Source organism: Homo sapiens, chromosome 7, assembly GCF_000001405.40.
Source record: "Homo sapiens chromosome 7, GRCh38.p14 Primary Assembly".
Taxonomy (NCBI): Eukaryota; Metazoa; Chordata; class Mammalia; order Primates; family Hominidae; genus Homo; species Homo sapiens.
In genome coordinates, this window is record NC_000007.14 from 7,314,217 (window position 1) to 7,328,912 (window position 14,696).

Genomic DNA, 14,696 nt, shown 5'->3' on the forward strand with positions numbered 1-14,696 from the left:
TAAACCCCATTACCTGTGCACTTAGACAATCTGCTCATGTCCAATTATTCTACTATTAAATGACTGTGCATCCAACCAAAGAGAAAGCTTCAAAGTAGATAAATAGATTAATTCACAGACTTCAAGGGTAAAGAAGCTTGTTTGAAATGGGGTTTTCTTACTTCTCACCATCCTGTTTGGAGTCTTATTCACACTGAGATTGACATATAAGGGAACCATTTATGAAACTGCACACCAGCAGACCATATGTCCTAGGAAACTTGCCTGGATGTCACATTGTGAGGGGTCTTCCACATGTCTAGTGATATAAGCACTGGAAAAACTGAGCCCAAGAACAAGACTTGGTTGGAAATAATTTGGCGTATTAATTGTATAATTCTTTTTTTTTGAGAAGGGATTTCGCTCTGTCACCCAGGCTGGAGTGCAGTGGTGCAATCTCAGCCCACTGCAACCTCCGCTTTCCGGATTCAAGTGATTCTCGTGGCTCAGCCTCCTGAGTAGCTGGGACTACAGGTGCATGCCACCACGCCCGGCTAATTTTTTGTGTTTTTAGTAGAGACGGGGTTTCACCATGTTAGTCAGGATGGTCTCGATCTCCTGACCTCATGATCCTACCTCTGCCTCCCAAAGTGCTGGGATTACAGGTGTGAGCCACTGAGCCCGGCCAATTGTATAATTCTTATTCTGTCCATATTTTTGTTTCTTCTTAACTCCTCCATCCCCCATTCCTGCTCATAGTATTCTCTGTGTGTCATTGTTTCAGAGAAGGTATGTGGAAGGTTGGAGACTTTATGCACTTCCTAGAAACTGAAGCCAACTGAGTAGATTAAGATATGAGGGAAAGAGGCATTGTGGGGAGATAGACTGAGAAGATCAAGGTAAGAAAAAGATACCCCTTGGCTTGAAGAGAAGAGAGACCTATGGTCTTGGATGAGCAGAGCCATGCTTCTGCTTCAGAACATTGCCCTAAGAAGGTGATGAGGTCTCAGGGACTTACTGCTCTTTGCCAAGTCTAGGTGGAAGAAGTCACAGTCCCTAGGATTTTGAGCCACAGCACCAGAAAGATTGCTATGGTCTAAGAGTAGAATGGAAGTAAACCAAAAGCCCAGGCGTGAAGCTGCCATACCCCCAGGGACAATGGATAACATTTTCTTGGACATAAAATTGATAAACCAAAGTTTATGCAGCTCCCTCTACACTAAATCAGCACTGGAAACTTGACATTATCCAGGCAGGAGGACTGGGAGGTGCCTCAAGTAAGGTTGAGGTAGAATTTACTGCCAGGTTAGCTTCATGGGAACTCAGAATGAAAGGCAAATGAATATATTTTAAAAGCAGATGAGGTTTCTTGTCTACTTGACTTTGTGGCTAAGGTTTATTTCAATGGGCAGGTACATTCTTCTCTGGACACAAACTGCAAAGCTTGAGGCTTTGGGAGTACAGTGGGTTTCTCACTGGAAACAATTTTGATACAGGCAAGGAAAGGAGGCAGTCTACAATCAGGGTATACTTTTAAGGCTACTGGCCAGTCAATTAAAAGAGCAGTTCCATCTTAAGGTTTTGCTACCTTTGGAGTAGGTAGTGGTTGGGCTGCTGTGATGGACAGGATGCATGGAGAGCCTTCTCCCCGTCACATATGTTCACCACCTCCTGTCCTAGTCCCTCAAAACTGCTCACAAGAAGTTCAGACATGTGGTTCTTGCTTTTAAGCTTTTTTAAAAGATACTTATAAATCCAGATCCTGTACAATTTTAAGCTTTTAAGATCTAAGATTCAAAATATAAATCATTAACAAGATCTTAACCACAGCGGGTGGTGCTTTCTAACCTCCCATCCCACCGCAAGAATGTTCCCTTGGAATGGGGAGGGGAGGGAGCAGAGGAAAGCCTCACCAGAAAGGACAGGTGGGGTAGACGTAGCATCACTGAGGCTGACATGGGGATGCCAGGTGGAGTGACAAGGAAGAAGTCAGGCCTTAGCCAGAGCTCCCAGAGCAGTGACTCTGTAGAAGAAGCCCCTGACAGAAATCTCCTTAGAAAAAACAAATGACCAGTGCCCTGGAAAGCTGGCTTTGGCCATCTTCCCTATGGAAACCAAGACCAATCAGTGTTAAAGAGAGAAGTGATAACAACCAAGAGAATCTGCCCGGCAGAAGCGTTCCTCCCTGCTCCTTACCAGTCACAGGGCAGAAAAAGGGGTGTAGACCATTCCTGGTCACCAAGCTAGCCTGTGCTGGAGGGGGATGGGGGGAATATGAAGTTTCATAAATTAAGGTTTTCATCAAATAGGAGATTGAAATTTTATAAATGAACAAGACTGAAGTATAAGAATGTGAATAGGATTGTCTTAACTAAATACTTGTGGAGCTAGGTTGAGATACTAAGTTATCTGACTGTTAACAGCTATAGATGGGGAACAGAGGGGGTGAGGGTGGGTCGAGAGAGCACAGTTAGCAGCAAGTTTTAGAAAAATAAAAATTAGATTTTGCATATATACCCGTAAGTTGAGCTTCTTCATTCAAAATTATTATGTTTACAAGCAATATAATTTCTTTTCTGCCCTTGTCTGTTTTTTTCTTGGCATGTTATCTGTATCTATTGATTAATTAAGGGTTCTTTACAGACTTAGGAAATTAGAATTTGGTCATATATTGGTAAAATATTTTTCCCAGTTTGTCATTGTGTGTCCTCTATTTGTCATTAATGAATTTTTTCCTGAAGTATTTTTTTATGTAATTAATTTGTCATTATTCTGTGGATTCTGGAGTTTGTATCTGATCCAGCTAAGAGCTTTCCTCACCCTAAAATAATAGCAAAAACAGTTGTTAATTGTAATACTTTCTTCCCATGTTTGTAAATGCCGTTTTGAGAAATCCGAACAAACCTTTAAGACAGAGCATCCTCTGTTGCTTTGACAGCAATGACTCTTTTGTAACTTTTTCTTCCAGCATTTTTCCACTCATACTTGGGTATTTTTCTCCCTGTCACTGATGTTCTGACTTGCTATGGATCACTGACATTTCAAGGTCTTCTTCAACTACTGTCATCTGGCTAATTGCCTATTTCTCACTTTGCCATTTGAATACACTGGTTCCTACTATATGCATGAACACTTCTCACAATCACTCCAAATCTCTGTTCAAGAAGTGGCTTGGTCAGAAAGTCTATCGTATCTTCATTCCACCTGCAAGAGTTGGTTTGATGTGAAGAACCCAGTCTGTTCCTAAAATTCAAGATCAGCAGCAGCCTCAGTGAACATAATGTTTCCTCATGTTTCTTGGGCTTAGACTTGCATTATATTTTCAATGCCATTTTGAAGATGAACAATGCCTTTCCATTCCACTTTCCAGAATTTTCATCTCCTGCTGGATAGGGATTATATTGCTGAAAGTCAGCAGTACTTATTGTAAGATGTAAGGAATTAGCATTAAAATAAATAGGGCATGTTATGTCTTTCATCAGAGGATTTCTATTAGGGTATTGCCAGCTTGATCCACCTGTCTCTTGGGATTTCTCTGTGGGCTAAAGAATAATGTTCCAAAGCACTATATAGGCCTCTCTAAGAAAGACTCAAAAACTATGTCATAATTACTGTCTCCTAAAGGTTTTTTTCCTCTATTATGAATTCACTCATTAATTCAACAGATCTTTACTGAGCACCTACTATACAACAGGCACTGGGGATAAAGTGTTATACAAAATTAAATCCCTGCTTTCATTGAGTGTACATTCTCATGGAAAAGACATGCCAAAAAAAATAAGTTAACCAATATGTGCCATAATATTAGACAGTGATAGGTGCTATGAAAATAAAATCATGCTGAGTCAGGGGGTGAAGAACAGTAGGCCTGACAGATGGTCATCAGGGAAGACTTTTCTGAAGAGACAACATTGGAGGCAAGACCTGAATCAACCGAGGGAAAGAGCAATGTGGAGATCATAGGGCAAAGCATTCCAGGAACAGGAAACAGCAACGCAAAGTTCTTTGCAGCAATATGCCTGGTGTATTTAAGAAACAGCACGTGGGCCCGTGTCGCTGGAGAAGTATGAACAAGGGAAAGAATGGAGACACAGATAGGATAAGGAAGATCTTATAAGCCAGATGCCAGTCTTCAAGAGGACTATTTCGTATGATTAAAATAAAGAGATGATTAAAGTATGACTTCACAAATCACATTTATTGTTACACAAATAGTTTTTTTTAGAACAAATCTCACAGGGAATACTCTCAAATAGATGAGGTATGTTAACCCTATAATCAGTGAGTTCCAATTTCATTTAGAGTTGAATTCTCATAGTCTAGTTGCTCAGTTAGGATGGAAACAGGCCTTTGTGGATGTAAAGTCTGATCAGTTTTGAGACATCCCTTTCTCTAAGAGGTTCTTGGGAGACACAGCCTGACCAACACAGGGGAGATCCATGGAACATGCAAGGTTCCTCAATGCTAGAGAGCAGTGACAGCGTAGATGGGGAAGGCTCAGATGTTGACAGAGATGGCTCAGATGTTGACAGAGATGAGCCCTCCCACAGCCTGAGCTGTCAAACTTCTGTCAAAACCTTGGGTATGTATGTGTTTTGGAGTCCAGTAGTTAAGGCCAATAACTCACATATGTGGTCTGATAAGGTGTGACACATAACATTCTTGCAGGGAATGGGATTGCACTCCATTCTTTTTTCTTTTTAATTGTATTCCTCAGAGATCCTTGTTCTGATTGACTTCCATTTTAGAAGGCTCACTCTGGCTGTAGTGTGAGGAATTGAATGCAGAAGGGCAGGAATGGAAACAAGGAGAGCAGTTAGGAGGCACAGGCCCGGCAAGAGATGATATGACAGTGGCTTGGGCCAGGAATGCAGTACCGGACGGGGTGAGAGGTGGTCAGATTCTGGAGATAGTTTGAAGGGCTTGCATTGGGATGAGAGAAAACGAAAAAAGTCAAGGATGACACTGAGGCTTTTGGCATGAACCTGTAAATAGTAATCATATTATGGAGATGAATTACAGTGGCGGAGGAATCCGTTTGGGGCTAAATTAAAAATTTGGCTTTTAACACATTAGTATTGAGAGGCCGATTAAACAGCTAAGTAGAGATTTCAGGCAGACAGTAAAATGAGACTAGAAGGTTGAAGACATGGCTAGAGATAAAAATTGGGGCATATAAGAAGTATATAGGCTGGGCGCAGTGGCTCACACCTATAATCCTAGCACTTTGGGAGGCCGAGGCGGGTGGATCACAAGGTCAGGAGTTCAAGACCAGCCTGGCCAAGATGGTGAAACTTTGTCTCTACTAAAAATACAAAAATTAGCCGGGTGTGGTGGTGGGCACCTGTAATCCCAGCTACTTGGGAGGCTAAGGCAGAGAATTGCTCGAACCCAGGAGGCGGAGGTTGCAGTGAGCCAAGATTGCGCCACTGCACTCCAGCCTGGGTGACAGAGTGAGACTCCATCTCAAAAAAAAAAAAAAAAAAAAAAAAAAAAGTATGTAAAGCCGTGGGGCTGGATGAGAGCTCCAGGAAGAAAACATAGATTGAGAAGCCATCTGAGACCTACATCCTAGGTTTCTCTGGTGCTAGAGGTCAGGAAGGGAAAGACGATGTAGCCAGGACTGGGAAGAAATGGCCAGTACTGCAGGAGAAAACCAGATGATTTCCTGGAAACCAAGGAAAAAAATAGGCACTTAAGAAGGAGGGAGGGGCCAGGCACAGTGGCTAATGCCTGTAACCTCAGCTTTAGAAGGCCGAGATGGGCGGATCACCTGAGGTCAGGAGTTTGAGACCAGCCTGGCCAAAATGGTGAAACGCCGTCTACTAAAAATACAAAAATTAGCTGGGCGTGGTGGCATGCACCTGTAATCCCAGCTACTCAGTAAGCTGAGGCAAGAATGCGGAGGCTACAGTGAGCCGAGATCATACCACTGCTTTCCAGCCTGGATGGCAGAGTGAGACTCCATCTCAAAAAAAAAAAAAAGAAAGAGGGAGGGATCAACTGTTTCAAAGGCTGCCAAGCAATTAAGTAGAATTAAACCTAAGGATTTTCCACTGCATTTGGCTCCTCTCCTCCCTGTTTCCTCTCATTCGATAGAATAGATTTATTCCTAGTGGCTCTTAGGGCCAGTCTTCCCCAGTTTGGGGAGACTACTATTGCCTATAGAATATTTTTTCCCTCTTCCCTACTCATAGACCCTACTTTTATCCAGAGTGCTCACATATCCACCTCCTCTGAAGCTAGAAATAACCATATGGCACAGGCCTAGCCAGTGAGAAGTAAACAGAAGGCATAGAGCGCGGAATTTGGAAAGTTCTTTAAAAGGGAGTAACTCAGTGGCAATGAGAGCTTGCTTCCCTTAGCTCATCCTTTTTGTTCCGCCTGGAACATGGATGTGACAACTGGAAATACATCCTGACAACAGGAAGACTATGGATACTTCCTAATGAAGGTGAGCAGGGAAGCTGGAAGGAACCTGAATTATTCCATCATGGTGTGGAGCCTCCAGGACAGTCCTGAACTATTTACCTTTTGATTCTTTTTTCATGGAAAAAAATACATATCCCCAATTTGTTTAAGATACTGTGATGCATTTGTTTTCTGTTATGTGACAACTGAACATAATCCCAAGTGACAATGCTAGTTGTGTGGTCTTTACCCATGGCTCTCCTGGCCAAAGCACTCCTGTCATCCCACAAAACAGAAATAACGTGGGGTTGGAGATGGCAGGCCATGATTCCTGGGCCATCTCTGCTAGTCCTATACAGCGGTATGCCTTGGTCATGTTGCTTGAACAATCTTTAAACTTGGCTTTCTTTGCCTGTAAAATGGCTGTGTTAGAAGGACCAACCCTTGACCTTCTTTTATGACTTTACATTTTTTCCTTACAATTAATTCTCTTGTTGGTTATCAATGAATTGCTCCGGTCATGCTGCTTGAGCCTGGATGAAATCAAGACTGTAAAAAGAAAAAAAAAAAAAAAAAAAAAAATCCATGAACTACAATAAAAATAAGCTCCTACAAAACTTGATCTCCAAAAATGGAAGGCTTCATTCCTTTTAGTGACTGCCTGGTAAAGCAAGAAAACACAAAAGCAAAATTTTTGATCATAAGTGAAAAGTAGGCTTGACACATTTAAAGGCCTAAATTTGAATTACAAAGTCTAAAAGTATTTCAACATTGTGGGTAACTTGTACAAGTGTGGGTTCGCATAAGACTTCAGCCATAACTGCTGGAGACACTGGTGGAACCCCCCAGCCCCCTAGAGAGTGGGCTGGCAGAATCGTGCAGGTCAACGTGGATGAGAACTGACTGCCTGGCTCAAGACCCATGCCTCGGGTCAGTGAGGCTAGCTTTGGAACCCAGGCAGAGGGTATGTGTGTGTGTTGTAGAGGGTTAAAGGAAGGCAAAGGAGAAATGAAAAGTCTAAGAGGAGGAAAGACGGGGGAAAGTGTTGCCTCTCAAAGAGAATGACTTTCAAAGTGTCATCTACAAACACTGATAGTTAGATCTAAAATGCCAGCACAGAATGTGCTGGTTAAGAGTAGTGTCAATTCAGGGTCCAGTGATTTTCCTGCTGGAAACCCTCCAAAGGAATTTGAGACACAGAGGAAGAACAGTCCTGGCCCGGGCAGAACTGCTTATGTCAATGTCAATGTTCATATTTGCATGACCGAAAACACACCCAGGGCAGGTTAGTCATGCTCGGGGCTATTGTCTGATCCAGCCCTGTCATTCTCACACTGTGAAAGAGAAGACTTCCACAACAAGTTCACTGGGGCGAAACGCTTAAAGTTGGTTGACAGCTTCAGCTGGGGCCACTTGTGTAGGAGCCCAGTCAGTTTGATCAATGTAGCTGAGTTGGCTCTGGGCTCTGTCATAGCCCCAGCTGGGTTCTGTTTACCATTTACTTCTGTGGGATATCAGCATATGCCTCCCAAAAATATGAAGGAATGTTGAGCTGAAGGCCATTAACAGGAAATGGACGCAGGCACACTCTCTGCCTTTCCTCTTTTTTCCTAAAAGCAGGATGTAGATTTACAAAGACATGTATATATGAAATATACATGTTAATAAACTTCTGTTTGTTTTTCTCTTCTGAATTTGTCTTTTGTAACAGGGGTCAGTTTCAATAAGAACCTGTTGAGGGTTATTATTTTTACCCTACAGTTCAAACATTTTGGTTTTTTTATACAACGATGTTGTAACTTATTGGGTTTTTTCTTATCATTAGGGGAGGAATGGTGGGCTCTTGGGTCTTTCTATATCTGGTAAAGGAGAGCCACGTGGTTATGGTTCAGTCCCAAGCAATATCATGGAGTCCCCGGGACAAAGCAGCTTGCAGGCATGCTCTGTGGGTTCATGGTTGGGAGCTTGTGACAGCTTTTCTTGTCAAACCCTGCCCAGAGCTCTTTCCACTTCGAAAAAGAGGCCCCAGGAGGCAGTGTCTTAGCTCAAAGGCATAACTGGTCAACCTAATGGAAGGACTTCAGATAAGTGGCAAGTAGATGGAATAGATATTTTAAGGTCACAGAGGACTTGCCAATTCCTTTATATCAGAGAACTGACGGGGTTTGGGACATGCTACCCCCCCCCCCAAAATATGACACCTTGTGCCAGTTTATTACCATTCGATCATGCCATTCCTTCATCCTATCACATTTCCTCCCCATTATTCACTCTTCCTCAAACCTACCATAAAATACACTCAGATTTAATAAAACTTATACTCAGCTTTAGTAAAACTCATATTAAATAAATGTGTTGCTTTTTTCTTCGTATAGGAGTCTCAGCCATTAACCTAGGGTGAGCAGAGAAAAAGGTACTTTTCTTCTCCTATAGAACCTTGGAACCTGCTTCATTTCTATGCCTGAACTTTGTACCAGCTGCTGATGTTACCTTGGGCTCAGAAAAATAGGTAAAGGGACTAGAGACAATAGGAGAGAGGGAAAGGATGGCCCTACTGGGAGAAGAATGAGGCAGTAATGTTTCAGATCACCACCATCAAACATAGGCCTGAAGATCCTACCCTTCTCCCATCCTATCCCTGCCCCCATCCTATCTCCCCCTGTTAACTGAGAATTTTTTATTCACCCATTCAACTGATACAAATTCATTGGAGCACCTGTTATACACAAAACACCATACTAAATTCTGGGATATAGTGAGCAAGACATATAAGGCACTTGCTCTCAGAAGAGATAGTAAAAAGTAAATAAATAAACATTGTGGTAAAGAGTCACTGCAGGAGCTCGTCACGTTTGAGCTGAGATCTGAGAGGTGAAGAGTGAACCAGTCATGCAAAGAGCTGTGAAAGGGCTTTCTAGGGTGAGGGAAGAGCAAGTACAAACACTCTGAGGTGGGAAAGAGCCTTGACTGTGGAGGCAGAGAAAGGTTGCCAGTGTGGCTGGAGTTCACGGGAGCTGAAGTGGGAGGCGTATGAAAGACTCAGGTAGGCGGCAGGAGCCAAGTCACATTGAGCCTTGTCTTGCAGGTTTTATGAGAGGCCATGGAATGATTCGTTGTAGGAGAGGGGCTCAATCTAATTTAGATGAATAATGGCCACAGTGGTAGCTGTGGGAGAATGTATTGTGTATTGGGCCTGGAGGGAGGATACTGGAGCATAATGTTGGAAATTGAGGAATTCCTCCCTCAGCCTTGCTCTGTGGGGCTTCAACAGCTGAGGAGAAAATCAAAGATTGGGGAAGCATACATTCTTTTCTTCCCCATCCAGAATTCTCTTCCTAGTTCCCAAAGATCTTGAAGGCATTTATTTTCCTCAGTGGTTATTGTGTCTTTTCTGCTGGGGGGATGTGCCCACATTCTTTTCACTGTCTGTTGACCACCATCTGCTGCCGTCTGGACTCTCATAACTCCCCTCCTCCCATTGCTGCTACTTTCTGTCCAACTGCTGCCAAGACTGTCTAGGGATGGGAGTGCTGGGATGGATCTTACCTCATGATTGGAGAGATTTCCCTTGACAAGACTGTCTCAGACTCAGGCCAGAGGGTGCTTTAAGGTCATTACTAGTTGCCATATGGAATACCTCTTTCAGTGTTCTGCTGTTCGGTTGTCCTGTCTCCAGTTCTTTGAGTGGCTCCAACCCAAGCCATCTTCTACTTCCTTCTAAAAACCAACACCCTAGAGTTACCTCAGCAAGTATTATATTCCACTCACTTATTCCCATCCTGCTGTCAACCTGATCCAGTGTGATGCTGACCTGAGACCCTGTGGACTTGACTTTTATCCTTGGAAATGAACATTTGTGGAAGGTGTTTCTGCTATTTGAGCATCAGCTTTTCCCACTGACCCCTGACTTGGTCTGTCCCTCCCATCTCTGCCACTAAAACAGCCTACAGCCGATCCCTCTAATTGGCCCCTGATTCCCTGTGAGAAAGGCTTGACAACTTCCTTGGATGCATCCTCTGCCCAGGTGAGTGACCCCACCCTCCTGGAATCTGACCATCTAATCTAAAGTTGCCTTTGCCCTTTCTCCCAGGAGTCTGAGAATGTCCTCATACAAACTGGACTCACAGCTGGCCCTGATATTCTAGAATTTCTAGGCAGACATGAAAATTAGATTGAAGCTGTGACCTTCATTTCACACATATAAAAAGAATGTGTGAGGACCTATGACTAATGAAAGCAGCCTCATTTCTTCACAGTCGTTTTCCAAATACCACTAATTGCCCTATGCTTTCAACGCAAACACAGAGTATTACTCAAACTGCCACAGAAATGAATGAGTAGAGAGTACCACACCTGGGTCACTAGCACATCTTGAATGACAAGGTTTCTGTTCTGCTCTCTTGACATCCTACCCTTGGAAGTGACAAGATTGGAGTAGACACTGGCTCAGGGATCGTTTCCTCCCTATCTGCCCTCTACATGTATCCTATCATCTAGATTTCCAGCACTTTCTTCTTTGCTACCTGAAAGAATCTAACCAATAACATGAGTAAAAAGAACCAGACTCGGTAGAAGCAAACATGACTATCTTGCTCTTTACAAAGCCAAATGGTTGATAGACTTCCCTGTATGTGGGAGAGAGAAAGGAAATTCTGACCCAAATAAGTTAGACCTTTTCTGTAGGATGCCAGAAGAAGCTGAGATTCCAAGCACATAGTGTTTTGGTTTCGATTTTGGAAGAATTAAAGAAGACTCAGTTAGTAATTGGAAGGGGACATGAGGAAATTGAGAATAGAAAACCACATGGATAAGGTTAAAACAAATCCCAAATCCATTTAAAAAAAAAAAAAAACACAATGTCCCATTGCCATGAGAAAATGAATGTAATGAGTGTTTCAGTGTATTGTCTATGTACGATGTTGTTGTAAAGCCATTTTAATGTGTTAGGAGGTATTTTACTCTCTTCTTGATTGGGTCACTGAAGTAACCGTGAATAGCAATGTGGTGCATAGAGGCAGTGTGGAAAGGGCGCTGGGCCCACAGCAAGAAGACCTGGATTGTGTACCATGTGAGGACAAAAGGCCACATAGGTCTCTAACCAATGATATAGGTTAGATATTATGTAGGAGGAAGACAAAGACCTAGAGACTGTGCAGCGTTCTGAGCAGTGAGCACTTGAAGATGTGCCCCACTCCAGAGATACACACTGATACATTTGTGATATTCAGGGGACTAAAACTGGTCTTACGCCATGGCAATCCTCGTCTCTTACAGGACATTCCTTCTCAGGAACATCCAACCTACTCCTACACAGAGAAGGCTTTTGGCCCCTCACTCTGCAACCAGGTGGAAGTGGCAAAACACTTGGTGGGCCACCCATGCCCACCGTCACCAATTACATTAATTCTTACGAAGGCACTTGAGTTCCATCTTTTTTTTCCTAATATATTGATGTGCTGTCATTCTCAAACCTAATTCTTAAGGGGTCTGAAATTACTGATGAATTAGAAGAAATTGCATTGTGAAAATGACAGATGAGATTCAGTATTAACATAAAGAAGAAATGGTGTTTTACAAGTAACAGTCAATGATAATTGCAAAACAATTCTTACAGCATTATGCATGGAAATGGGTATAAATCCTAGTGAATCTTATCTTGGATACCTCTACAGTTACGGTTTGCAACTTGAGAACACAGGACTGAAGAGGGCTTATCTGGATCTTAAGATTGTGGAAAAGAAAGCTAGGATTTTGATGAAGTGTAGATTTAAAATTCTAAGCCACTTGGTTCTAGGTCATATCCAAGGTCTAGGTTACACATTCAAGAGACTGCGTGAACAACTCTTGAATCTCAACTCTGCTTTAAAGGACACCCTGTTAAACAGTCCAAAAGTAAACGCAGTATTGCGAGTAGCTACTGCTATCTGATGCATATTTCTGAAATATTTCCTATATGAAAAGAAGTTGAGTTTCTGTTTCGGTAATTTGGCTGGCTGGAGTCAACCAAACCCATAGGTTTGACTCATAGCTGATCTACCTTTCTGGATACCTGTATCCCAGGAATGAACTGGAACCAAAAAGGCTGGAAGTTATTGTTTCTTCACTATTAGACTCTGAGGATTTAACAAACCACAGAATGGTCAGCACCCTGAGGCTGAACCAGAACTGACCAGCCCTTGGGAGTGGGCTCTTTGTGAAGGATCCTACCTGGTCAGTTACCCCATTCCCAGCCACCCTGACCAATAACTTTGGCAGTTAAAACAATAGCAACCTATTTATTGAAATTAGAACTGTTTTGGGGTAGTTACTTTCCTTTATAATTAGCTGTGTGACTAGTTAGATTAACTCACTAAAGTGACTAGCTGAAAATCACTATGAGCAAATCATTTTAACTTCAGGAACTAAGTTCTGATATTTGTAAAATAAAAGCCTTGGACTCAGTAACAATTAATAAACTATAAACTTCTATTAAGATTTATGGTAAGAAACATAAACTTTAAACAATTTAGGATATTAACCATTAGGGGAAAAGTCTAGGTCTTATTCATCTAAAACTCCCTATTTCTTAAATGTTTCTACTAAGTCAATCTTGGAGTTATAAAGATGCCTAACTGATAGAGCAACTTTTTTGGATTTCCTTAATAATAGGGAATACACATACTTCATGAAAATCCCCAATATTGTTTACATTAGAATAAAATTTAAGTATTGGACAGAAGAGTTTAGATTACAAGAAGAATTCATTTAAATAGCACCTGACGTTCCCTAACAACAGTGATTTTATGAAACATTGTAATTGATTTGCCACCTATGTGTGGATCTATCCTAAACTGACTCCTTTAGTTTGCAGGTTCGTTGGGGATTCAATGTCTTTTACTTCTTTTTCAGTCTCAACAACAGCTAATTCAGTACTCTAAATATAGTCAGCATTCAATACAAATTTAATTATTGACTGAATCTAGGCTGTCAGGGGAAAAAAAGATTTGCTACTTGTTTGGACATGTCTCTCTGATTCAATGCCACTTTTGCCTTACCAGCTAATCAGTCAGTAGACTAAGGGTGGTGCATTTTTGATCTTCCCCCTTAAAGAAGGTCAGTGGCTGAAAATGAGATCCAGAGTGATTACATTAGAAGGATTTTCATGTGTACTCCATCAGGGAGATTAAATGTCCAGGTGCCTCCCACGTTTCCTTTTAGGACTTGTTCTTAGTCTTCATACTTCAAGGGCTCAAGAGCAGCACTGACACGCAACATATTCATTGTCCATCCCCAATTACGTTCTCAAAAGGTAACTGTTACATATTGTATTAGAGTTCTCCAGCTAAACAGAACCAGTAGGATGGAGAGAAAGGGGGCTCGAGAGGAGGAGGGAGATGGGGGAGAGAGAGAAGGAAGGGAAGGGGGAAAGGGAAGCTGGTAAATCTAAAATTTGTAGGGCAGCCTGGCAGGCTGGAGACCCAGAGAAGAGTTGATGTTGCAGCTGAAGTGGGAAGGAAGATAGGAGGCAGAATTCCGTCTTCCTCAGGAGACTTCAGTTGTTTCTCTTAAGGCCTTCAATTGTTTGGATGAGGCCCACCCACACCACAAAAGGTAATTGGCTTTACTCAAAGTCTGCTGATTGAAATATCCTTAGATCTAAAAAACATCTTTATAGCAACATCTAGACCAACGTTTGACCAAACATCTGGGCACTGAAATCTGGGCAAGTTGACACAAGGAATTAACCATCACACATATCAAAATGGGACATTTTCATCATTCCAGTTATCTTTTGAAAGTTCTCTGATTTCTTTCACTATTTAAAATATTCTCCAAATAACAAACAGTTCGCCAATGCTGATAATTCTTTTTTTTTTTTCCTTTTTCTGTTTTTTTCTCTCTTTCATAAGACAGGGTCTCACTTGGTCACCCAGGCTAGAGTGCAGTGATGTGATCATAGCTCACTGCTGCCTTAAACTCCCGAGTGCAAAGGATCCTCCCACCTCAGCCTCCCAAGTAGTTGGGACTGTAGGAGTGTGCCCTCATGCCCAGCTAACTTAAAAGAATTTTTTTTTTTATAAAGACAAGGTCTCACCATCTTGCCCCGGCTCGTCTCAAACTCCAGAGGTCAAGTAATCCTCCCAAAGTGCTAGGATTATAGGCGTGAGCCACTGCACCTGGCCATGATTTTCTAATTACAGAAAGAAAAAAACTTTCTATGGTCTTTCACTGCCTCCTTCCACCAACTCCTACTTCAGATTTTGTTCATTTTCTCCATAAGTATTATACATTGGTGCTTAGGAGACAAAGAAGAGACATGGGTTCCA

At 42.2% G+C, this 14,696-nt stretch overlaps 1 long non-coding RNA gene across 1 annotated transcript in view, besides 2 other annotated features; it reads left to right on the forward strand.

The window, feature by feature from the left end:
* LOC107986764 (uncharacterized) overlaps positions 1-14,696 on the forward strand; it is a 106,009-nt gene that overhangs the window by 42,813 nt on the left and 48,500 nt on the right. The gene's annotated exons all lie outside the window — the stretch shown is intronic.
* Positions 7,378-7,477: an enhancer, noted in NCBI's record as "active region_25639". NCBI's record gives its function as "activates an Ori minimal core promoter by ATAC-STARR-seq in GM12878 lymphoblastoid cells {active_cell/tissue: GM12878}" and the evidence as "EXISTENCE:reporter gene assay evidence [ECO:0000049][PMID:35858748]".
* Positions 7,528-7,577: an enhancer, noted in NCBI's record as "active region_25640". NCBI's record gives its function as "activates an Ori minimal core promoter by ATAC-STARR-seq in GM12878 lymphoblastoid cells {active_cell/tissue: GM12878}" and the evidence as "EXISTENCE:reporter gene assay evidence [ECO:0000049][PMID:35858748]".